General features: G+C 41.4%; 1 protein-coding gene and 1 long non-coding RNA gene across 8 annotated transcripts in view, besides 2 other annotated features; one reads left to right on the top strand and one right to left on the bottom strand.

Moving 5' to 3' along the window:
- The window catches only part of ARMC3 (armadillo repeat containing 3), a 110,471-nt gene extending 108,473 nt beyond the window's left edge, over positions 1-1,998 (top strand). For all 7 annotated transcript variants that reach the window (NM_173081.5, NM_001282745.2, XM_005252380.4 and 4 more), the window contains one exon: positions 745-1,998. In NM_173081.5, the coding sequence (NP_775104.2) occupies positions 745-954 (210 nt within the window). In that variant the 3' untranslated portion in view covers positions 955-1,998. The remainder of the gene's footprint in view (positions 1-744) is intronic.
- Positions 1-26,639, bottom strand: part of LOC107984215 (uncharacterized) — a 99,856-nt gene that overhangs the window by 41,102 nt on the left and 32,115 nt on the right. The gene's annotated exons all lie outside the window — the stretch shown is intronic.
- Positions 15,624-16,124: an enhancer, noted in NCBI's record as "H3K27ac hESC enhancer chr10:23341078-23341578 (GRCh37/hg19 assembly coordinates)". NCBI's record gives its function as "activates a minimal SCP1, AML or CMV promoter by ChIP-STARR-seq in naive H9 embryonic stem cells {active_cell/tissue: H9 hESC(naive)}" and the evidence as "EXISTENCE:reporter gene assay evidence [ECO:0000049][PMID:30033119]".
- Positions 19,252-19,791: an enhancer, noted in NCBI's record as "NANOG hESC enhancer chr10:23344706-23345245 (GRCh37/hg19 assembly coordinates)". NCBI's record gives its function as "activates a minimal SCP1, AML or CMV promoter by ChIP-STARR-seq in naive H9 embryonic stem cells {active_cell/tissue: H9 hESC(naive)}" and the evidence as "EXISTENCE:reporter gene assay evidence [ECO:0000049][PMID:30033119]".

The following is a 26,639-nucleotide window of genomic DNA, read 5'->3' on the forward strand; positions in this document are numbered from 1 at the left end:
CTGTTGCTCCCCTCATTTCTCAGATGAAGCCATGGAAGCCCAGAGATGCCAAGTCCCTTGCTGGGGTGCGCGGCTAGTCGGTCTCAGATCTGGGCTATAATCCAGACCCAGGCAGGCTAAGCCAGCTCTCCTGTTCACTATAAAGTGGCTGAGTAGTCTCCAGATTAGAGATACTTTGTTTTAATAACCTCAAAATCAGGAATCATCAGAGGGCAAATTCAAGAGACAGTTTCCAAGGAACCAACGTAGTCTCTGGTGAGGTGGCAGCAAGGAGCCCTAGGACCAGGCACCCACAGTTCTGCCTCTCCTGCCCCATGGCACGCAGAATAGTTTAGCTGGAAAGAGCCCCCGCCCCAGGGTGATGCCTCCATTCAGTCCCACTGCATTTCACAGCCAGGGAGAGCCCAGAAGTTTGGAAAGATGGATAGATGCACTAGTGCAAAGAGTGCACAGAATAGCTTTTTTCCAATCACCCTCGCCATCTGATACAATAGTGTTACTACCTGAAAAAGGTGACTTCCCAGCAGGACCTACACAGAGATTTTGCATCTACAGAATCTTGAGTGAATTTATCACATTTGATTGGCCCCTATACCAATAGTCCACATCTTTCAGCCTCCTATCTAAACATTTCTTTGCAAGACTTGTGTATTTCACCTTCAATCAAGGTGTGCAATTACAAATAGGATATTCCCCACCCCTCTCCCGCACCACCCTTGGTTGATCTCTTGTTTTCTCCTGCAGGCTCTGGCTGATAGAATTGGCATTGGTTGCTCCCTAGTTCGCGGAGAGTACGGTAGAGCGTGGAATGAAGTCATGCTGCAGAATGACTCTCGGAAGGGAGTGATTGGGGGCCTCCCCGCTCCTGAGATGTACGTGATTGACCTCATGTTCCATCCAGGTGGACTGATGAAGTTGAGAAGTCGAGAGGCTGATCTTTACAGATTCATTTAAGCCATCAGACGAACACAAGAGAGGCTCAAACAAGAAATTCACTGTGTACACTCTCTAAGACATTCTCCAAATTGATTTTATCTCTTTAAATAAAAACTTTAAATAAAAGTATTAGAAATGTTTTCTCTGCGTAGAAATTAGGAAGCTTGGAGTGAACTTTGCTGTGCTTCTGATTTCAGGCTTTTGGCAAGAGTTCTGTCTTATTAGGTCATTTTCCGCTCACTGACCCTCACATAAAGCTGATTGTTGTCGAAATTCATCCAGCCCACTGTGTCCTGAGGAGCGTCTCTGTCATTTAGGAATCACATGTAGCACTCAGCTGCTGCACCCAGGACAACACTGTGGCCTCATGACTGTCATCTTTCATGCCCAGAATGCTTCAGGCATGCTCAGTTAAGCAAACTAAGTGAATTTTTAGTATTTGCAATCACCTTGTCTCAGTTTCATTTAAGATTTTGATAGTTTAGATAGAATAAACACAGATCTGAGTGTTACAAATTCCTTTCTAAAAATTTTTGTTTCTATTTTTAAAAATTCATCATTAAAAACACTTTAATATAGTGAATTAAAAATATTTCTAAAGTATATTTCCATAAAATGGTTTTGGTTTCATCTTGTCTGTGTTAGCTTGGAAACATACCTTCAGCTAAAAACAATTCTGATTTGCTCTTCCACATTTTAATGCTGGGCCATTAATATATTATTTTCAATTTATAGAACTAAAAAATTTTTATTTTTTGGAAAACTTTGAAGCATAAAGGTAGAGCAAATCTTTGCTGAGGAATTGTGTTTTAGTATTGAGCACAAAATGGGGAGTAAATTCACATTTCAAATGATAAGACAAAAACTACTAATGTGGTTAATCTCGTGAAGTACATATTGCCTAGTCACGCTTAAAGTCCAGTGTTGACCTGTATAGTCATTTTCCTAGAAGACGTTTTAAAGTGAATTTGATTTTAGAAATTAAAGCTAAGATTATTTTGTATTAATTTGTAATTTCAAATAATATAATTCTTTATTTCAGAATAAATTTATTTCAAATGGCGTGGTAATTATATTTATCATAGAATTTTATGAAATTAGAGCGTGGCTTATGGGATACAAACCTATTTGTAGGTTTTTCCTCTGCATTTTAAAGTCTGTTTTGATCCAGAAAGTATTTAAAGTGGATTACAAAGATCCATGGGATATAAGAAGGAAAAAGAAAATAAATGAAATGCAGGCGTAAGTGTAGAAAAGTCCAACAAAGCAGGAATAAGATTTGGATCCAAAGATTAGAATTCAATAAAATGCAGTGCATTTGTTAGAGATGAATGGAAATTTGACTCTATACTCACTGGCAGCCAGTGTGAGGGGAAATGTTATTTATCCATTATGGGATTTACACTAGGATCTGCTAGATAAAAGCACAGACCAGTTTCTCAGGTGGAACAAATATCAGGGGAATTTCTCTTTGGTAGATTCATAGAGATGGCAAAATGTAACCTAGAAAATAACATCGTCAAAAACCAACCTCCTGGTAAGTTCTGAAAAGAAGTTTCACAGGCCAAGGCCCCAACATCAAAGTGGAATTAGGCAAATGTTCTATGCAGAGCTACTAGGATAGGGCCCGGGTATACACCACTTTTTAAAATCTGGTGCATGCCAAAGATTTTTTTTTTTAATCTTTGAGACAATTCTGTACAATGTCTCTTTCAACTAGTTTCTAGATAATTACTGAACAGAGATAGTTTAAATTTAATTCTCATACAGGTTTTCAAAGTTCATTTCTTCTGATTTACTTGGTTTAAATGTAGAGCCATAAAATTTAATAATCAGCCAATTATACAAAGACAATACATTTGCAATGGCAACAAAAGTTATAAAATACATAGAAATAAATTTAACAAGAACTATGCAAGAAAAACTACAGAATTTTAATGAGACTTGAATAAATGGAGATGTCCTTTCCAGGAACAGCACGCTCTTTGATGGGAAATTCAGTAGTAAAAAGATTTCAGTCCCCCATATTAAAATCTAAAATTAGTATAATTTCTATTAGAATCCCAACACATTTCTTTTTTTTCTGAAATTGACAAACAGCAAAATGTATTTAGAAGAATAAATGTGTATAAAAACTAAGAATATTTTGAAATAGAAAAATACAGAGGAATTGTCTCACTTATTAGAACATGTATTAAAAAGCAATAAAAAGCAAATTTAGGATGGTACAGGCATAAAAATTAAAAAAAATTAAGACTCCAGACACAAATCCATACATATAGGTAGGATTTAGCATTGTTAAAAGTAGCTTTTTTGCCCAGTGGAAAAATGATAGCCTATTCGGTAACTGGTTTGGGGAAAATTATAATCTTGAGAAGGGAGATTCTATTTATGCCAGAAAAACTAGAAGTCATAAAAGAACATATATGACAAGTTTGGCTACATAAAACTCTTAAATTCCTGTCAGCAAAATACACTGTAAGCAAAATTATTGACAGGGAGAAAAAAAAACAGCATATTTAACAAGCAAAATGTTAACATTCTCAATAAGCAAAGATCTTCTAAAAATCAATAAGAAAAAGACAATACACTTGGAAAATAAACAGAGTTGGCAACACTTTTCTATAGGGGTAATAATCCTCAGATCTCAGTGGCTTAGGTCTTTTATCACATTACATATCAAACATAGGTCAATAGTGGGAGCTCGGTTCCACACAGTCATTCAAGAACCCAGGCTGACAGAAGTTCCTCCATTTTGTACCTGCAGCATCTGGAATACAAGATCTCCTCAGTTGCTACAGCGAGAGGGAAAAGTGCTAAGGATATCCTTCAGGAATTATATGCTTTGGCCTGGAATAATGTGCAATTTGGTCAGAACTAGACCCAAACCATATGGGGTAATATCTGAAACTATAGAGATTTTAGTCAGAATCCTGGGTGTCCCTTAAAACCCTGGCAACTGTTGTGGTTGTGACATTTCAAGACAATTTATATAAAGTAACTTGTAGTTGTTCTGTCAGATCCAAAATCCAGAGTTTTACTTCTGGAGATCAAAACATTTCATTAAAATTAATAACTAACTTTTAAAAATAGCTGTTAATTAAATGGAAAATGGACAGTTAAATAAAATCCGTTTCACAAGCTTTGATCTTTAAGCAAGCATCATAAATGAGAATTGAAGTTTGCACTGTGCTTTTCGTAAGTACACATCAAATGTGTTTAATACTTTTAATAAGTACACATCAAATGTATTATTTCCTTGCCAAAGAAGCAGAACTTCATCCATGAAAAATACTTTTCCAGAAGCTCAAAATAACATGTAAAATCGAATGGATTATTATTTTTTGAGGCAGGGTCACTCTGTCACGCAGGCTGGAATGCAGTGGCACAGTCATAACTCACTGCAGCCTCGACCTCCCAGGGCTCAGGTGATCCTCCCATCTCATAAGTAATTATGGTTTTTGTCATTACTTTTAATGGCAAGTAACTTGTTTCTCAGCAAGATATCTCTTACAGTATTCCCCTGCCAGAGCTGGCAATCTGGAGATGAGGAATGGGGTTTCAAGAGATGGTGCATTTTTCCTTAGAACTATCTAGAGAGAGGCTGTATTTACATGCTCTTTTTTTGTTTGTTTGTTTGTTTTTTGAGACAGAGTCTCACTCTGTTGCCCAGGCTGGAGTGCAGTGGTGCCATCTCGGTTCACTGCAACCTCCATCTCCCGGGTTCAAGCTATTCTCCTGCCTCAGCCTCTCGAGTAGCTGGGATTACAGGCGTCTGCCACCACACCCAGCTAATTTTTATATTTTTAGTAGAGATGGGGTTTTGCCATGTTGGCCAGGCTGGTCTCAAACTCCTGACCTCAGGTGATCCACCCACCCCGGCCTCCCAAAGCGCTGGGATTACAGGCGTGAGCCACCACACCCTGCCACTGTTTGTTTTTAAACTCAACTGAATACGGGGGTAGGATGAACTTACTAAACACTATATGGAAAAATATCACTGTTCTTGGTATATTCTAGGAACAATACATAGTGTCAAGTCACTTATTTAGGGATTAATATTTAAAAGTCCTATTCTTTATTTAAAATTACCTGAGTAGTATTATATAGATCACTAGCAAAAGCTTTGCTTAGGTTTATCATTTTAAAGCCATGAATATAATTAGTTTAATAATAAAAGTGGACTTCATTTCCAAGGACAATCATCAAGGTGTCAGGTGGGACTATATTAATATAGTGAATTCAAATAAAGTTCTTGTGGAACTCACACAGTACAAGAGACCTGTAGGATCTACCAATAAATAAACCACAAATCACAATTTAAAAAATAAAAAGCATTGTTGGAAAAGGTAAAGAAATTTTCTTGTGGTGATTTTACTTATAAATTCAATAAGCCTTTATTATTGAGAATTAAAATAATAGCAGGGATTAAAAAATTCAATGTCTTTATTATTGAGAAGCAATATAATAGCACCTCTTTAGAATCAGAGCTGAGATCAAGTTCTGTCTCTCACTTTTTCTAGCCGTGTGACCTTGAGAGAATTACTTAACCTCTATCTCCCTCAGTTAGTCTTCTGGAAAGTAAGGAAAAATAATAGCAAATATTTATATATTGTTTACGATGTGCCAGAGGCTGTTCTTTGTAGTTTCAACTCTTGGAGTAATCCTGTGATGCATAGGTAGGACTACCCACAGTTAACAAGTGAGAAAACCCAGGCACAGAGAGGTTAAGTAATTTGCCCAAGATTGTCCAGCTAGTAAGCGGCAAAGCTTTCAATTTAAACACAGTTTGGCTTCAGAGGCCATGCTTCCAACCTATATGTCTCATAAAGCTGTTGTGAGGGTGAAATAAGACCATGCATATAAATGACAGGTGGGGGATGGCATATGCATTTGTATATGTGAGTGCGTGTGTGTGTGTGTGTGTGTGTGTGTGTGTGTGTAGCTCTCTATTCTATGCACACATGATGTTCTGTTTGCCTTTAGCATGTTTTAAGGGAATTCCTCATTCTTCAAGCATTTGTCTCTCTCTTGAGATCCCTCTGTAGGGCCAGAGAGTAAATATTTCAGGTTTTGCAGGCTATTCCATCTCTACTGCAGCCACTCAACTCTGCTATTGCAGCACAAAAGCAGCATAGATAATACCTAACCAATGAAACTGTATCTACTAAAACAGGTGGGGGGCCAGATTGGCTCACGGACCATAGTTGGTCAACCCTTGCTTTAGATGATGAGCACTTTGAGGATAAGGACATGGAAAGGCTTCAGTTTACTTAGTATAATCCCTGGGCACCTTAGCTAAGTATTCAGGGGAGACTCCCACCCTGGCATTTGCCTTTCCTGGTTTCTCTGGGCTCTAAGATGGATCTGCTTGATGTTATTCCAATGGATGCCAACACAGATGCCTTATTTTTCAATAGGATGAGGACAGATTTGACCAATCTACATAAGAAAATAAACCTCCTATCTTCTATACTTTTGTTAAGAACTGTGAAGGGTCTGAGATTTTATCCTACTTGCAAGCTAACTGCCAATTTTATTGTTGCTGGAATAAGACATGAGATATCTGGATCAGAGACAAAGGATTTTATTACTCACAGCAAAGCAAGCAGCATGAGCCAGGCTATTTGTGTCAAATCTCCTTGCTCCCAAGTCTCATGGGGAAAACATGGATAGACCCAGATGGATGCCTATCAATGCAGTGGTTTGTGTTACAGAAGAACTCTGAGCTTAGAGAACCCAAATCCTTTATAGTGAGCAGCAAGGGCCAGGCGCAGTGGCTCACACCTATAATCCCAGCACTTTGGGAGGCTGAGATGGGTGGATCATCTGAGGTTGAAAGTTCGAGATCAGCCTGACCAACATGAAGAAACCCCATCTCTACTAAAAATACAAAATTAGCTGGCCATGGTGGCGCATGCCTGTAACCCCAGCTACTCAGGAGGCTGAGGCAGGAGAATTGCTTGAACCTGGGAGGTGGAGGTTGCAGTGAGCTGAGATGGCGCCATTGCACTCCAGCCTGGGCAACAAGAGTGAAACTGTCTCAAAAAAAAAAAAATGAGTATAATGAGCAGCAAGAGAGACACTATATTATTTGCCAAGGCTATTCACCAACACCCTTGAAAAGATAGTCTGGAACAAAAGTCAATCAGGAAGATGTGCAGAACGAGGGAGACCCATGGAGCATTATCTCCCAATAGCTTCATCAATTCTTAACAGTCTTTATGGAATCTCTCATCTGTAAAATAGAGACGATTCATACAAGGATATGTGAACTTACCCTAGCCAGTATCCCTATAATATGTATAAATATAGATATTCACATGTTTTATACAGATATATAAAAGCTTATTATATATGTATATTATTTATAATTACATTAAAAAGGTCACAATAGATGGGCCTCATAAGTCATCAAGGCCAACTTTCTTTTCTGGCAACCCCAAAGGAATATTTGTAAAGAAGTATGGTGGTTATCAGCTATATCATACTACATTGCCCTACTAATCTTTTGTCTACAGGTTCAAGTCCAAATTCAGATCAAGCCTCACTTTCCTCCCTAAGCTTCCCCTGATGCCTTATGCTCTACTGGTGACCTTCTCTCATAGCATCTTTGGCACTCATTTTGCATTTTTTCATATGCTTACTGCCTGGGGTTGCTGTTTTCTTAATGCACATGTATGTGATATCATGGTTAGAAGCATGCAGATCCTTGGAGTCAGAGAGGCTCGGGTTGGAGTGTCCTACTTAAACCATTCTTAGCTGTGGGATCTTTAGCAAATGTCTTGGTTTCTACATCTCTAAAATGGGGATGTAATAATAGTAACCACTTCATAAGGTTGCTCTCAGAAGTAAATAAGTCCATGTACAGTACTGAACATAACGTCAAAAATAAAATCAGATCCAGTTAGAATGTTAAGAGTTTATCCTGCACACAAAAGAATAGTTCACAAACTGGGAGACCTCAATGTCTCAATTTTACAGCAGTAACAGTGCAGTTCATAGAGCACAAAGGAGGAAGGATTTTGGTCTTTTTCATAATTGGCTGTCATATAGTCTTTATTAAGGCAAACCAAACTGTTTAAGCTGATTTATTGATAGGTTATTGGTTTAATTTCACTGAATCAGTCTGATAAAGACAAAAAGCTTACATTTGTGTTATGTTTACCTTTATGGTGAAAGGTTTGGGAAAATCAGGATGACTTAAGTTTTGTTTACACAGCTACGGGCAGCTGGGCTTTGGGTATACCTAAACTGTGGCCTCCATTTTTATTTTGCTTTAACAATTGTAAGCATTTGACAACTATTAGCTATTATGCTTTGATCTCTCCTGAAGAGATGGAAAGGAATTCTATGTTGGGCATACACCTTACTCTCAAGAGCTCCTTGCAAACGGATAACTTGAATAATATTTGTTGACTATCTGAATGCCTTAAACTAACTGATCTTAAAGACTAAAATGGAATTGGAATTCATTTTTATTTTCTTTTGGATATTTTTGAAAGTAGTTGGGTGGTAAAGAAAATCACTCCCATTTCTGATTAGGTACTGATTTCCTTTGGCCTTTCAGTGTAACAAATATGATGACCACACGGTTACTTTTTTTTTTTTTTTTTGAGACAGGATCTCACCCTGTTGCCCAGACTGGAATGCACTGGCGCCGTCTTGGCCCACTGCTACCTCCAACTCCCAGGCTCAAGCAATTCTCCTGCCTCAGCCTCCCGAGTAGCTGGAATTACAGGCGTACACCACCACCACCCAGCTAATTTTTGTATTCTTAGTAGAGACGGGGTTTCACCATATTGCCAGGCTGGTCTTGAACTCCTGACCGCAAGTGATCCACCCGCCTCAGCCTCCCAAAGTGCTGGGATTACAGGCGTGTGTCACAGTGCCCAGCATCACACCTTTACTTTTGAATTTGTAGAATAGAATGTCAAAATGCAGAAATTCTGTCTTTGGAGCTAATGTCTGAAATCACTCCCCATCACCAACACCTTTGCTACCTGTGTGTGAGTGTTTCATTAAGAGAGGATACAGCATTACTTCCTATGGTTATATGACTCAGTATTGCTGCTTGGCGGACAGAGCTTGCCTGTGACTTTGAATGCCTCCCCTTGCATACTGGCATACTTATTACCTTTTCTTGTTTCGTTTTTGAGACAGAATCTCGCTCTGTCACCCAGCATGGAGTGCAGTGGCACAATCCTGGCTCACTGCAACCTCTGCCTCCCGGGCTCAAGTGATCCTCCTGCCTCAGCCTTCCAAGTAGCTGGGACTACAGGCATCCACCACCATGCTGGGCTAATTTTTGTATATTTAGTAGAGACGGGGTTTCGCCATGTTGGCCAGGCTGGTCTCGAACTCCTGACCTCAGGTGATCCACTCGCCTTAGCCTCCCAAAGTGCTGGGATTACAGGTGTGAGCCATCCCACCTCGCCTTATCACCTTTTAAAGTATGGTTGTTTGTGTAGTTAAGATGACTTGGGCTCTTGTTAACCTGCTAACAATGTATAAGGCTCCATATAGGGTAAGATCTTTCTTTCCACCAGAACTTGGAAAGGAGCAGGCTCCCATTTTGACAAGTCCCCAGTGAGCAGCATCTGCTTTAGGTATATTTCAGTCACAAACGTCTGGGTCTGACCTCAGAGTGATGAGCTAAGAGTCATTAATTTCCTTTTCCAGCTCAAAGGTATCAGCCCCCAAATGCTGCAGACAGTCAGGCTCTGAATCTTGAGAAAGTCCCAGTTTGTTTTACACAAGAACAGCTGGCATACAAATGGAATCAAGCACTTTTAAGTAGTCGTTAATAATACTGATGAGAACAGCTGAAGCAAACAGCGGCCTCTGTAAGTACTCAGATATCTGACATACAAATCGAGTGATAGTCCAATTAGTTTATTTATAGGTTCCTTTCTTTGAAAAATATGAGTTTGTGTCTAGCTGTCCTTTTGATTCTACAGTCTTTACTTTTAGAAAAACTTTGAAAAGCCTAGATGAATGCATTTATATCTGTATTATCAAGTCATTTATCTGCTAACTCATTGATAGTCATTATCTGCATACACAATTTTCTAGCTCTGTGATTTCATTTATTTAGCTTTCCAGAAAATTGTTTTATTAAAAGTCTCATTTTATTAATACAAATAAGAGAGAGCGATAAATACGCTAGTTGCATAGACTCTTACAGGATAGAAAGCTTAGCTTATTTTTCTTGTATGCAATTATTTGCTCCTTTGAGGATTAGAATGAAAAGAAAAATTAACTGTTGAATGAGGAGATTTTCTTTATGCAGTTATTATTTTCCTTAACTAAATAAGATAATAATAGAATAAATAATAAAAAGAGAGCAATGAATCGCCAGCAACAGACTTCAGAGTCCCACTCAGAAGTAACAATATGAAACCTATACTAGCCGGCTTTAAAGAGCATCACAAAACTTAACAACAGTAAAACTCTCACCATGCCTGAGAGCCATGATTACTAGCTATGTAAACATTACTGCTGAGTTAAAAACACTTACAGGATAATTAAAATGCCCCTTTTCAAACATGTTTCTTACAAAATAAATGTCCTGAGACTCAAGTTTACTGTGTCTGATGCTGCTAAACCATTACATTCAGAGAATGTACTCACTAATATGAAATCCCCAGAAAGGAAATCAAGAAATGAGAAAAGTCTTGGTAAATCTCTTAATATCAACCATCTGATTTCTTTTAGCCTTAGCTTTAGTCTCACCATCAAGTTTTTGGCATAGTTGTAAACTGCTAAGTTTCCACTCTTCAAAGGCCCCAAAATGCAGGCGGGGTGAGAGCAGGGGAATGGCTTCCCCCCGGGAATCACAGTCCACAGCTTTAAAGTAAATCATTGCAGGAGAGAAGCCAGTTCTTGCCCTCAGCCTGTCACTGGTTGAGTTTCAGAGCCCTCAGAGTCAGAAACATGGGAGAGAATGCATAGAGAGTAGGTCCACCACAGGCATGTTCTGTTAGTTTTCATGTGCAGTTGACGTCTCTCAAAGACACCATGCAGAAGGGATACAAAAGCCTGTAGAGCTCAGATAAGAGCTAGGAACTGCCAGAGAGAAGGTCAGAATGGATCATAGCAGGTGTTCTGACAGAGAGGAAACGTTTCCTCTAACCTTTTAGATTCTGTAGTTGGGGGCCTGTGAATTAAACTAACAGAAAACAGATTAGCAAAAGACAGACTTAATCACGTACTTATGGGAGTTCGCAGAAAAGTGTCACTCAAAGAGATGGTTAGAATTCGTGGCTTCTATACTGTCTTAACTGGGGAAGAGGAGGGAGAAAAGGGCACTTAGGGAAAACAAATGACTTTTTGGAAAGATATATAGGCCCTTAGGAGATATGATCGTTTGGTCACAACGGCTGTGTAGGTGTGGTGCTGACTTCCAGCCTCTGGTGATGAGTCAGTCTTCTCTGTTTGCTTCCAGGAAGAGAATTTAAGATAATTGAATTCTTTTGAGTTATCTTGGGAGGCTCTACTTTTAGACAGATTTCAGGAACTCAAATGCCTCTGCTCAAAATAATTTATATGCCACAATAGCATATTCTGGGCCCTTTCAGCTCCAAATTATTCCCCCAGGTCAAGTGTACTTGGAAATCTCTGCTCAGATTAAGTTCTCAATATCTACACTTAACCTTAAATATGGGATTGTTCTTTAAAACAAAATTGGAGCCATTGTTAATGGGTGTACATATATATATATATATATATATATATATATATATATATATATATGACAATTAGCCAGGTGCAGTGGCTTATGCCTATAATCCCAGCACTTTGGGAGCAGAGGTGGGAGGATATCTTGAGTCCAGGAATTTGAGACCAGTATGGGCAAAACAGTGAGACACCTTCTCTACAAATGATTTTTTTAAAAATATTAGCCAGGTGTGATGGTGCATGCCTGTAAGTCCCAGCTACTCGGAGCCTGAGGCAGGGGAATTGCTTGAGCCCAGGAAGTCAGGGCTGCAGTGAGCCATGAGCATGCCACAGCACTCAGCCTGAGTACCAGAATAAGGCCCTATCTCGCAAAAAAGACAATTAAAAATACATGAAATAAATTGTCTAGAAAATTTGAGACCCGGTCAGGCACAGTGGCTCACGCCTGTAATCCCAGCACTTTGGGAGGCCGAGGCAGGCGGATCATCTGAGGTCAGGAGTTCAAGACCAGCCTGACCAACATGGTGGAACCCAACTCTACTAAAAAGACAAAAAATTAGCTGGGCGTGGTGGCGCATGCCTGTAGTCCCAGCTACTTGGGAGGCTGAGACAGGAGAATCACTTGAACCCGGGAGGCGGAGATTGCAGTGAGCTGAGATCATGCCACCGTACTCCAGCCTGGGCTACAAGGGCAAAGCTCCATCTCAAAAAAAAAGAAAGAAAGAAAAGAAAATTTGAGACCCATGTTGTACTAAATGACTTGGCTGCAAGATGCCATCAGCTTGAAGGTTTTGTCACTCCAGTTTTGCTGTTTGTGAAACAATGAAATGAAAAGTTTTGGGGACACACTTGAGTTGGTTGTCCCACCTTCTTGCCTTTATGTTCTTATGCCACTGGAATAAGCACTAAAATCCTTGGGCCTTGAAGATATTAAATGATGGTGGGCACCAGTACCCGGTGGTACGCTATAGCTATTCTTGGGACTTGGCAATAGCTATTAGACTATAGCTATTCCTTGGTTTTCACAAGGAATAATAACTGAATCGTCTCTTTCCAAGCTACAGAATCACTCACTCCCTAGACTCGTACATAATTACAGATGTAAATTGTTAGTACATTATAATTAGCATGACACCCGGAAAGATACTTAAAATAAACTTTAAAAAAACCTGCTACACATAGATGTGAGCAAAATCAGAAAAGACCCTCCACAAGCACCATGGTTGGGGGCAGGCTGTGCAGTGGTTTTCAGCTGACACGCCAGCCGAGAACAACCCAGTTCAGATCCTAGCTCTGCTACTAAATGAGTGGCCTCGGACAAGTCACTCCCTGGCCCTCAGTTTCTTTGCCTGGAAAACGGCAATGACGACAGCTCCCTCCTCATATGGTTGTTTGAGAAGTAAGTGGATGAATGAACATAAAGCAGTGGAAACGGTTCCTGACACAGAGGTTGCCCCCAATGAGTATCATCCATTCTCAGCCCATCCATGCCATTCCCCACTTGGATAGAGCAGGGAAGGAACGTGGCACCAACCCCACTAATGCATTTCTTTCATATATACCTGCTGACAACGAGGCCTTGCAAACTATGTGAGAAAACTAAGATAAGCAGCATTCTACCATACAACTTACCCAAGAGAGGTAACCTCAATCACCTGCATGCACGCAGGACCAGGAGAATAAGTGATCCTGACTCTTTGCCTTGTTATACTACTAAAATCCCCACCTCAGGAGGGGCTGATGTGCCATTTTTTGATCAGGCAATGTATGTACTAACATGATTTCTCCCTGCACCTGCACCCCCTTGCTCTATCTTGCACATGTAATGATGCTCACATACCTCATGATCTTCATATCACCCTCCTTAAAACACTGCAAAGACCTACCCTCCAGGAGCCAGCTGGAGAATTCTTGCTCCTACACTGTCTGCCTTGTGCTTGAACATAAGCCCCAATAAAGCTTGTATGGGAAAGTTTCTCAGCCTCCTGTCAATTTCCACTGCATGAGAGCCTAAGAATCTGTGATCGGTAACACTGGGACCCAGATTTTCAGACATAAAAATAAAGGAGTACAAATATATAATTTGATAGAAGAAATAAGAGCTAGTGTTTGATACATCAGTAGGGTATGATTTACAATAATCTGTTGTGCATTTCAAAGTAGCTACGAGAGAATAATTCAAAGGTTTCAGCATAAAGAAAAGACAAATATTTAAGGTGATGGATATCCCAAGTACACTGATTTGATCTTTACAAATTATATGACTATATTAAATTACCACATGCACCCTGAATGTATACACAGCTTATAGTTATTAATTAGAAAATAAAATTAATTTTTAAAAGCTAAAAGAATTATTTGGTAACTTGTGGAAAAAAATAGAAACAATTCATAGCCTCCCTCCTTTTAGCTAGGGCTCCACTGGAAGTAAAGAGAACAGTCGATCAAACCGCTTTTGAGAGGGAGCAAGGAGCCCTCTTAGGGGCATGCTGGGAAGCAAGCAGGAAATAAACGAAAAGCTTGAGTTCCTTCAAGGGAAAATTCCAGGTCCCTAAGTGACCCCTGAGAAGTAAATGAGCAACTTGATAAACAAGAAGATAATAGTAACTTAAAAGAATAACCAAGGAAGTGAGAGTCACAAAATGCTGGGTTCCCTATAGAAACTAAAGATCTTAACATATGTCCCTGAGCTGTTTTTCAGAGACCCAGATCCTACTAAATGAAAAATACCCTTCATTAGGCCTGGTGCAGTGGCTCACGCTTGTAATCCCAGCACTTTGGGAGGCCGAGGTGGGCAGATCACCTGAGGCTAGGAGTTTGAGAGCAGCCTGGCCAACATGGTGAAACCCCGTCTCTACTAAAAATACAAAAATTAGCCACGTGTGGTGGCGCATGCCTGCAATCCCAGCGACTTCGGAGGCTGAGTCATGAGAATCACTTGAACCTGGGAGGCAGAGGTTGCACTGAGCCGAGATGGCGCCACCGAACTCCAGCCTGGGTGAACTCCAGCCTGGGTGACAGAGCGAGACTCTGTCTCAAAAAACAAACAAACAAACAAATAAATAAAACTCTCCACTGGCATGTAGACCTTAGATAAGGGGGGAATTAAGGACTGCATTCTGACTATAGTTCTTTGTTCTAAATTTCTTCCTGAGGGGCCGGGAGGAGGTCACTTCCACAAGCCAGAGCTAACATTCTTTTCTGTTGATCCCAAATGTTTAGACAAAACATCACCTCTTTAACCAGTTGCAAATCAGAAAAATCTTTGAATCCACCTATGGCCTGTGTCCCCTCTGCTCAGGTGTCCTGCCTTTTAGGTCAAACCAATGTATAGCCTCCATGTATGAATTTATGACTTTGCCTGTAACCTCTGCCTTTCTGCCTTTGAAAACCCTTACCTGTAGACCATCTGAGAGTTTGGGTCTTAAGTATGAGCTGCCAACTCTCCTTGCTTGGTGCCCTGCAATAAATGCCTCACTTTCTCTTGCTGCAAATCCCGATGTCAGTGTTTGACTTTGCTGCGCTGGGTAGGTGAACCCAAGTTTGGTTTGGTGACATTTTCCTGAGCAAATTGAAAATTCTCCTCTCTTGTTCTTGCTGTGCTTTGTAAGAGTGAGCCAAGATGAGGACAGGTATGTCCTCTGATGGGGTTCAGAAAGTGCTACTCCAAAACATGGCACCTTAGAATATTGAATATTTTAAGCCAAAGGAATTTGAGAAAGTGGCAGAAGCAGACAGGTCTCTCTCGCCTTCCCTTGAAGCAGGTCATGAGACCTTCATGTGCTCTCCCTCTGTTAGAGACATTTGAACCAGAGCGACTCCTCTTGAATAGGGGCTGGGTAATATGAGGCTGAGACCTACTGGGCTGCATTCCCAGGAGTTTAGGTATTCTTAGTCACAGGAGGAGACAGGAGGTCAACACAAGATACAGGTCACAAAGTCCCTGCTGATAAAATAGGATGTGGTTAAGAAGCCGGCCAAACCCAACATAAACAAGATGGCGACAAAATAAACCCCTGGTCACTTTCACTGCTCATTATATACTACTTATAATATATTAGCATGCTAAAAGACACTCCCACCAGTGCCTTGAGTGTTTACAAATGCCATGGCAATGTCCAGAAGTTACGCTATATGGTCCAAAAAGAAGAGGAATTCTCAGTTACAGGAACTCCCCACCTCTTTCCCAGAAAACTCATGAATAATCCACCCCTTGTTTAACATCAAATGAGGAAATAATCATAAAAATAACCAACTAGCAGCCCTCAGGGCTGGTCTTCTAAGGAGTAGCCATTTGTTTTCTTTACTTTCTTAATTAAGTCGCTTTCACTTTACTGTGTGGACTTGCCCCGAATTCTTTCTTGCGTGAGATCCAAGAAACCTCTTTTGGGGTCTGGATCAGGATCCCTTTCTGGTAACACCTCTATCCAGAGGAAAGCAGAATCCTTATTTCTGAAGACAGAGGGATGCTGAGAAGAATTTGAATGAACAGGTCTTGCCAAGTTTCCTCCAGTTGGCTACTTTTGTTCATACACCTTTGCCCTATCCCATTTTTCCACGACTTTCCACTCTTCACCAAATCAAGCATAAAAACACTCAGGTTTAACCATTTCTTTGAGTCTTCATTTTCTCATGAAGCTTCCCGTGTCTTATAAAACTCAGATTAAGTAAATTAATATGACTTCCTCTTGTTAATCTATCTTTTGACAGCCTAATGTTCAGGGCCTCATCCAATGAACATAAAATGGTTAGAAGAGAAAGATTTTTTTCCCCTCCCATCCACCTCCCATTTTTGCATGTAAAAACAAGAGTAGGAAAATCTGCCCAAATGGTTTCTGACAGCCCTAGGAGTATGATAAAAGGCTTCTTTTTTCTTAAAAGAAAAATCATATTTAATCACTCAGTGGCAGGAGTGGGACTTTCTGTTGTGAAACATCCAGAGACTCCCGCTTCCCTTTCTCCCAGAGAGAAAGAGCAGAGCTCAAGACTAGAGCCCTGGAAATTCAAGGGTGAGGGAGGGGCTCAGAAGAGCCATTGTTTCCTGATCTTGAGTGCTCCAGGCAACAGCTGGGCTTTCTAGGAATTCCAGTATTGCTGAGTGGGGAGGGTGTGTAGAAGGAAGGCTGCTCTTCAAGTTTGAACTTAAGATTCAAAATGTGCTGAGTCACAAGGTTCCACCCCTGGCAAACCCTGTGATGGGCAAAGCTGATTTTCCAACTCACCTTCCAGCCTTTTCTCCCAGTCCCCTGCATCCTCCTGCCACACACCTCCTCAGGCTTATCAGAGCCTGCTCTCTGGGGTCCCTCAATTCCAAAACCTTCATTCTAGAAGGATGAACTCCACCACATGACTGTAAAAGACCTTCTAGGAGAATCTGCATCATGAAAGCATAAAAAACTTGAAGCCAAATGACTGACTCTTTCATTGTGGAATTCATGTATGGGTGAACAAATAGAATGTATATTTTGTTTAATAGATACTTGCTTATTATGGACAATATGGAAGATACAGCAAGAAAGAAAAATATTTTTCTATCAACCACAGAGTACGTGTTTTGATCTATTTGTTTCCAGTCTATTCATCAGGACCTTTTTTTTTTTTTTTAAACTTAATGGCCTACTGAATATGCAGATTGTGTTCCTGTCTGGAGTATAGAACACAGGCATTTATTGAGGAAAGGCATGATGGGAGAGGGGCTGGGGACACCCCTGTGCTCAGAAGTCACACTATCCTCAGCAGCTACCATTCCCAGGTCCCTAGTGTTGTCATTTGTTCAAAGGAAAGCTGAGCAGTAAGAACCAAACTGGGGAGTTGCATTTTGGACCTTCTTCTTTCTCCTGTGCTTTGAGTCACTGGTGCTTTCTCAAAGGCCTGAGCTTTGTGGAATAGCAGCCACAAACCATGAAAAGTTGGGTGATAGGATATTGATGAGAAATCACCTGACACCAAATAGTTTCATAAATCAAGGTTCTGGAAGCTGGTCCCACAGTCAAGAGCAGCTGTAAGGAATGCACTGCAGCCCTGCCAGGTGAACATGGGGAGCAGAGGCAGCTCTTCTGACACCTTGCGGAGAATGGAAGTTTCCTTTGTGGGGAGGAGACACCCCCAGATGCACCATGCTCTGGCCAGTACAACTCTGCAGAAGGCAGGTGGCTGCCCGTACAGGGTTGGGCAGCTCAGGATGAGGTTCCAGCTAAAATGGGGCTCACTCCTGCTGACAACCAGCTAGCTCCATGCCTGATACCTCTCGACCTTCTTCAGAATGGAGAGCTTTAACAATAATTGACACTTTAGGACTATCGCAGTAATACAGCCTCATTGTAGAGTCAAATGTAGACAAGTATTTAAAGAAGCAACTAACGATCACTCATAGTCCCATGACCAGAGGTAACGAAATACTGTTAACATTTTGTCCCCTTATAGGCTTAAAAAAAACAAAAAGAAAAGAGATGTACCCATAGTTCTGTTACAGGAAGGGGGTCCAGATCCAGACCCCAAGAGAGGGTTCTTGGATCTCAAGCAAGAAAGAATTCAGGGTGAGTCCACAGAGTAACGTGAAAGCAAGTTTATTAGGAAAGTAAAGGAACAAAAGAATGGCTACTCCATAGACAGAGCAGCCCCAAGGGCTGCTGGTTGCCCACTTGTATGGTTGTTTATTGATTATATGCTAAACGAGGGGTGGATTATTTATACCTCCCCTTTTTAGACCATGTAGGGTAACTTCCTGACATTGCCATGGCAATTGTAAACCGTCATGGCGCTGGTGGGAGTGTAGCAGTGAGGACTGCTAGAGGTCACTCTCGTAACCATCTTGGTTTTGGTGGGTTTTAGCCGGTTTCTTTACTGCAACCTGTTTTATCAGTAAGGTCTTTATGGCCTGTATCTTGTGCCAACCTCCTGTCTCACCCTGTGACTTAGAATGCCTTAACCATCTCGGAATGCAGCTCAGTAGGTCTCAGCCTCATTTTACCCAGCTCCTATTCAAGAAGGAGTTGCTCTGGTTCACAGGCCTCTGACAGTTCTGGATGCTAAGAAGGGGTGCATTTTCATCCTCAAAGCTCCCCTCCCTACCTCCTCCATCCCATGGGTCAATTGAGCTCTCCTTGTTGAAAAGGCAGAGAGCTCAAATTTCAGGCAACCACCTTCTTGCCAAAAGATGGCTCCAAAAGCTTCTAGCTCCCCTGACAACTGAGCTGCAGAATCCCCCCTGCCCAGTCTCATTCAGATACAACAAAAAGTGTCATCCCAGCCATGAAATATCAACACGGACAGGAACAATATTTTCCCATCAAAAAACCACATTTTAAAAACTCATCTGAAAGCCAGGGAAATCTGGTCTTAAGGATACATATTTTAGGCACTCCAAGCAGAACTGTTTACCAAAGAAAATGGCAAGCCCAGTGTCATTTCCAAATGTCACCAGAGTAAACCTTTACTAACCTCTCTCCAGTAAAAGAGAAAAAGAGGAAGGAACAAAGGCTCTATTCTCTCATTTTTAAGGGAGTCACATTTAGATATAATACATTGAGTTTGTATGATCTAATAAACTTCTAATACAGCCATTTTGCAGGTAATCTGAAACTTTTTAAAATAAATTTCTTTACAACAGTATTTTAAATACATGAAAGAAAGAATTGCTCAAAATTAATATTCCTTGAGATATCCTCGTTTTTCAGCCAGCACCTAACAGACCAATAGAGAGCACAGGTTTTTGTTTTTTTTTTTTTTTTTTTTTTTTTGCTATGGCAATATATCTCATTTCACGTATGGTTCCTTATCAATTACTGCCTAGATGGAATTTACCCTTTGTGTTCACAGCCACACAAGCATGTCTAAATGAAAAACACACCTTCTGCAGCCCTCTAACAAAATCAATCCCTCAGCAGGAGAGTTGAAGGCTTGTCGATGATTGCGCATTGAAATGCGCATTTGCATGCTAATTACCCAGAAAGCTCCTCCAGTTCACGGGGTGTTATGGAAACGCTAGGTCAGAATTCTAGGAGGGGAGAGAGCAGGAATAGAAAATGCAGAGGAACAGGAAATGAGGGTGGTTTAGATGGAAGCAATTGGGATGCAGTCTACTTTTAAAGTCATTTTTTAAAATCCACTTTAGTTGAATTAGTCATGTCAGATTAACCGGAGAACTTGCTCTTGGAGTTGCTCTGACTGGATTTCTGTGTCAAAAGCAAACAACTTATTTTATACTGTGTCATTTACAGCTTAAGGGGAGGCCTTTTCACTCAGGTTCTGAAGTCTCTGTGCCTGAGTACAATAAAATACTGTAGGGAAAAAAAACAGCTTTCTTTCCCATGGCTGGAGTCATGGCGGAGGCCCCTATAACAAAGAACAGATTAACAAGAGAAACGTGTACAACTTTATTTAATGTTAGTTTTAAGTAGCATGGGAGCCTTCATAAGGAAATGAAAACCTGAAGACACAGCGAAGCCTGTTATTTTTATGCTAAATCTGATGAAAAACTCAGTAGATAGTTGTGAAGTATGATTGGAAAAAGGGGGAATGATCTAACTATCATAAACTGTGGGGAAAGTTGTGATCAAGAAAATGGGCTCGCTGTCCAATGTGCACAGAAGTCAATAACTATGGCACCAGCTTTGTAGAAAAGAAAGGCTTTTTTACAAAATCAGCCAGACTGGCTCAAATCTGTCTCTGAGATGTGGGATCTGGGGGCAAGTTTTAAGGGATCAGAGAGAATGGGAAAGGATTTAGGAATGTTGGCTTGGCAGGGTCTGATTGGAGGGCTTCAAGTTTGACCATTTATGAAAAGGTATTGTATTAGTCAGGGCTCTCTAGAGGGACAGAGCTAACAGGATACATGTATATATGAAGGGGCATTTATTAAGGAGTATTGACTCACATGGTTATAAGGTGAAGTCCCACAATAGGCCATCTGCAAGCTGAGGAGCAAGGAAGCCAGCCTGAGTTCCAAAACCTCAAAAGTAGGGATGCCAACAGTGCAGCCTTCAGTCTGTGGCCAAAGGCCCGAGGGCTGCTGGCAAACTACTGGTGTGAGTCGAGAGTCCAAAAGTTGAAGAACTTGGAGTCTGATCTTCGAGGGCAGGAAGCACTGAGCACAGGAGAAAGCTGAAGGCTGGAAGACTCAGCAACTCAAGTCCTTCCACGCTCCTCTGCCTGCTTTTATCCTAGCCACGCTGGCAGCTGATTAGATGGTGCCCTCTAAGATTGAGAGTGGGTCTGCCTTTCCCAGTTCACTGACTCAAATGTTAATCTTTGGCAACACCCTCACAGACATACTCAGGAACAATACTTTGCATCCTTCAATCCAATCAAGTTGACACTCTATGTTAACCATCACAGGGATGTCGAGACAGATTTTTGCCCCAGATCTTCTGAAAGAGTTACAGCATTCAGGTTTGGGTCATGCCCTGGTCTTTTTGGTTCTAAGGGAAGGAATCATTGGTTCCAGGTGTTGTTAGAGGTCAAAGCTTTGTCTATTGTGCACGCCTGCAATTTTTGGCCCTGTTTTACCTAAAAAGTACATGGCTTGCCATTTTCGGCCCTGCTTTACCTACAAAGTAACTTGACATTTTGTTATCAACAGACTAGGCACAATTTGGGCTGGTCCTGTGGTTACAAAGTTAGCAAGACCTGTTTGTTCAGAGTGTTCTCTGTGTCCCTGTGTCTGCAGAGATAAAGACAGGTATAGAGTGGGAACTTCTCAGATGAAGGTCTTATTACCTGTTTCAGGGGAGAAGGGTGAGAAGGAGGTGAAAGAGACCTTCCTGCTTCTGCTGTTTCCTCAAATGTCAGCGTATCGTATATGGAGCAGTGTGTTCTGAACTCCATCCACACAAACACCCAAACTCATGGACTGCTCCAAAAACTACTTGGTCACAGCTCCAAAAGTTCTGTTTAATGGCTAAAAATATACTGTTTTCAAATAGTTATAATAGAAAAGAATTCTTTTCTGATGAAATCTAAAGAAGCTACATCTATTCCAAAAAATCAATCCGTGAATACAATTTGAAAATGTCTTTCTTCCACTAAAAGCAACAAGATAAAACTAAGGTTTTACTCATGCATATAAATGAAAAGTAAAAAGCCCTTTGGTTTTCTTAATTTTCTCCATTCTCTAGATATGACAATGAGTGGCCAACAGTTTTTTCCTTTTTCCCTTTTAAAGAAAATGCTGTTTCTTTTGTTTTGTCATTTTTTTTTCTGTATTGCTTCTGAAAAGTTCCAAAACCCTGAGAATATGCCAAACAAAAGTGGAAATTTTGCTCCCAGTTTCCTAGACTTTGAAAGATGGTGTTTAAGGCTCTGATTCCTTTGTCTATGTTTGCCAACCTTTCTTCTATTCTGAATGTTCTCTGACACACCTGTCCCAGTGATTCTGTGCACCTCAGGACTGCGTTTCTGTATTAACCAGAAACTCTTGGACAACAGGTCCAATGCAACTGCGAGGCATATCCAAACCAGCCCCACCCCAGCCCATAGTGCAAAATTCCTGAGGCCACAGAGCAAGTAATAACAGACACCTGATTTGCTCTCCTCTAAGTTCAAAACCTTTTTAAAAACCGTTTGAACTCTCAAATCTTTAATTAAAAATAGAAATAAAACTTATGTTAATCTTTAAATTAAAAATAGAAGAAAAGTTGTTCTCCTGTTTGAACTGCTCTAGACGGTATCACTGAGCTTCTGGAACAGAATCCTAAGTGTGCATGCAGTTGGAGCAGAAACAGGGCAGGTATGGAAGCTTGCAGCATAGACAATGTGATCTGTAGTGTTTCCTGAGCATGTGTTGAACACAAGTGAACAGTACGCGGGGTTATGAAGACATTTTTCTTATGCTAAGTGCCAGAACAGTGAGCAAGGGAAGAAAATTCTAGCACTTATCTTTACATGTTAAACATTATGTGATGGAGGCTGTTTTTATAAAGGTTAGCCTAGTCTAGGTGGTTGACTCTGATGTAGTTTCATCCTGTATCATGTAATCTCAGATTTCTGAACAAGCTCTCCTGCAAATATGGGTGAGAGACCAATCTGAGGATTGTGTCTCATCAACCAGTGGAACTTACCCTCTCACTACACCCCCTCCCCTCTTTCATCATTTATTTGCAAAACAACTCTGAAGAACTTATCATCTGATAATCACACTAAGAATTCACTTAAAAGGGATTATAGTATCCTAGAAAATAGATTCTTCTCTCTGCTTCAAATAGTCTACTTACAGCTTATTCAGAGTTCACTTATATGAGTGACCCATTTACTTTTTATTTTTTATTTTTCCAGAAAGAATTTTTATTATCTTCCCTATTGCATAGATACCATCACTAAAGGTAGAAATAACAAGTCATAATATTCTTACAGCAACCAAAGGATTCCTAGAGCAAATGAGGGTTTCAAATCTACAGTTAATGAAACAAAGGCTTGTGCTACAATTAGGTTCAATAATACTATAATAGAGTTTTAGGGCTTGACGGATTCCTAGAGTCCATTTTGTTCAACCTTATTTTACAGCGAGGGAAAAACTGAGGCCCAGTGGAGCAAAGTGATTTGCCCCAGGTCTTTTTTATAAACTCCCGGCAATGCTGATTCAGAATACAGGTCTCAGCACTCCCAAGGAAGTTATTTTCCTACTGAAACCACCGTTGCAAAAGTTATGACAGTGAGGAAAATTTGACATAGGAAAATCATGACAGTAAAATAAATCTGACCTAACCAACTCTATCTTGCTTCTAATCTCTGAGCTGCCCTTGTTTGTTCCTGGGCATAGGCAGAACTAACTTTGGGAGGAATTTAGTTTTTAGTTTAACTTTGCAACAAAGATGATAACAGCCCCTCCCCAAACAAACCCCCTCCTTACTTGGTAACCAGACCACCTTTGTAAAACCAACAAATTAGCCACAAGATTAGAAGTTATGGCCCAGAAGTCATGCAGCCTGTGTTAAGCCATTCTTGCATTGCTATAAAGAAATACTGGAGGCTGGGTAATTTATAAAGAAAAGAGGTGTAATTGGCTCATGGTTCTGCAGGCTGTAGCAGCACAGCTCCAGCATCTGCTTCTGGTGAGGGCTCAGGAAACTTAGAATCATGGCGGAAGGTAAAAGGGGAGCAGGTATATCATATGGCAGGAGCAGGGGAGACGGGGGGGGGTAGCACCACGAACTTTCAAACAACCAGATTTTGAGTGAACTCAGAGCGAGAACTCACTTATCACCAAAGGGATCCCATTCATGAGTGATCCACCCCCATGATCCAATCACCTCCCATCAGGCCCCACCTCCAACATTGGGAATCACATTTCAACATGAGATTCAGAGGGGACAAATATCCAAACCACATCACAGCTGGAAGTCACAAGATTACAAATCTCTCCAATTATTTCTATGGATACCATTACTATTGTAATGGTAAGATTGGTGTTTGAGGTATTCTTCAGAACCTGAATTCCAATGGATCAGCGGGTGCCAACTAGCCCAGTAAACTGGCTCATCTGGTCTTGGGGTCCAAACCCAGGGGAACTGACTCAGTGCAAGGGGACAGCTTCAGCTCCTTATGATTTCATCCCCAAACCAACCCATCAGTGTTCCCCATTCCCTGGCACCCTGCCCACCAAAGTGTCTTCAAAAGACCCTGGCTTCCAAAGTTTTGGGGAGGCTGATTTCAGTAATAATAAGAGACTCTGGTCTCTTGTTCAGCTGGCTCTATGTGTATTAAATTCTTTCTCTATTGCAATTCCTCTGTCTTGATCAATTCGCTCTATCTTGGCAGTGGGCAAGATGAACCTGGCAAGCAGTTCAATTACTCCTGAGGGAGGAGTGAAGAGGACCAACCTGCTTCTCAACAGCAGAGAAAGTGTCTTCTTGTTCTGTGGCTTACACCAGAGCTTGTGCCCTCCCCACCCCACACCTCTCCTCCACTCTCCTCCAGCAGCCAGTACAGTCCTGGATCCCAAGAGTGTGTCTAACACCTCCTGGGTCGCTGTGACTGCAGGGGTTAAATGCAAGGGCCAGGATCTCATCTTAGCCCTGCAGGATCTTAGCCATGAGACCAAGCCAGGTGCCTCTCTGGGCCTTGTTTTCTCACCTATGAACTGAAAGGTTGGGTCAGGGAGGGAGGACAGGTGCTGCTCGATCCCACCCACACCTAAGATAATTGAGGCTCAGGGAGGGTGTCACCTGCTCTGTTTTTACATAACCACAGAGTGGCAAAGCACAACAGAAATCTAGAGGCAGCCCTGACTCCAAATCACTCTTTCCTCTGCACCATGCTGCTGCTGCTACAGTGATTGATAAGGTCTTCTGCAGTTAGAGACAGAAGGCATAGGAGGAAAGCTAGGAGAAAGGGAGGAGGAGGAGAGGAAGAAAAGAAAGTTCACATCTATGACTTTGCATGTGCACAGACCTTTGTACATCCCCTTACTAAGATAATTCATGATAAACCATTGTAGGAGAGAAACATATCTTTTTCCTCTACCATACTAAGTATGTGGCTGAGGTCCCTGTAACAAAACACAGATTTGCAAGAGAAAACATATAAATCTATTTAAGTTTTACATGACAAGGGAGTCTTCAAAAGGAAATGCAGACCCCATCAGAAACAGCTAAAGCTGTGTGTTTTTATGGCAGATTTGATGAAGTGTGGACACTTGTGGAAAAATGGGATCGGGCAAAAAGAGAATGATCTAATAGTAATAAACTGGGGGAAACCTAGCCAGCCTGTTCAGATTCTTCCCTGTGATGCTGTGTCTTCAGAGATAAGGATGTCCCTTTCCTCCGGGTATAGGAAGGGCAGCTGTCACATGAGGATCTTATGCCCTGCTTCAGGCAAGAAGGGGAGGGAAAGGCCAGGGGGACCTTCCTGCTTCTGCTGTTTACTCAAGTTCCTTCAGCTTAAAATATTCAGTATGCCAGCCAGGTGTGGTGGCTCACGCTTGTAATCCCAGCACTTTGGGAGGCCAAGGCGGGTGGATCACCTGAGGTCAGGAGTTCAAGACCAGCCTGGGCAACGTGGTGAAACCCCGTCTCTACTAAAATACAAAAATTACCTGGGCACGGTGGCACTTGCCTGTAATCCCAGCTACTCGGGAGGCTGAGGCAGGAAGACTCGCTTGAGCCCAGGAGGTGGAGGTTACAGTGAGCCAAGATTGCGCCATTGCACTCCAGCCTGCGCAACAGAGCAAGACTCTATCTCAGAAAAAAAAAAAAGAAAGAAAGAAAGAAAAGAAAGAAAAAATAAATATTCAGTATGCCAAGGTGCCGCTTTTTGGGGTAGGATGTCCTGAACACCGTCATTCTTATCATTTCATCACTGGCACAATTGAAGAGAAAATAACTGTTATTTCATTTTTTTTAGAGACAGAGTCTCACTGTGTCGCTCAGGCTGGAGAGCAGTGGTGCCATCATAGCTCACTGCAACTTCCAATTCCTGGGCTCAAGTGATCCTCTCACTCTCACCTCCCACCTCAGTCTCTGGAATAACTGGGATTACAGGCACGTGCCATCATGCCTGGCTAAATTTTTTTTTTTTTTTTTTTTTTTTTTTTTTTGAGATGGAGCCTCACTCTGTCACCCAGGCTGGAGTGCAGTGGCACGATCTCAGCTCACTGCAACCTCTGCCTCCCGGGTTCATGCAATTCCCCTGCCTGAGCCTCCCAAGTGGCTGGGATTACAGGCACCCGCCACAACACCCAGCTAGTTTTTTTTTGTGTGTGTATTTTTATTAGAGATAGGGTTTCACCATGTTGGTCAGACTGGTCTCAAACTCCTGACCTCAAGTGACCTGCCCACTTTGGCCTCCCAAAGTGCTGAGTTTACAGGTGTGAGCCGCCGTGCCTGGCCGATGCCTGGCTAATTAAAAAAAAATTTTGTGGAGATGGGGTCTTCCTATGTTACCCAGGCTGTTTTTGAACTCCTGGCCCCACATAATCCCCACCCCTCGGCCTCTCAAAGCACTGGGATTACAGGTGTGAGTCACCGTGCCTGGCTAAAAAAGAAAATAACTTGTATTATAGTTAGACTCATGGTACTGTGTCCACATTA

This window comes from Homo sapiens, chromosome 10 (genome assembly GCF_000001405.40).
Source record: "Homo sapiens chromosome 10, GRCh38.p14 Primary Assembly".
Taxonomy (NCBI): Eukaryota; Metazoa; Chordata; class Mammalia; order Primates; family Hominidae; genus Homo; species Homo sapiens.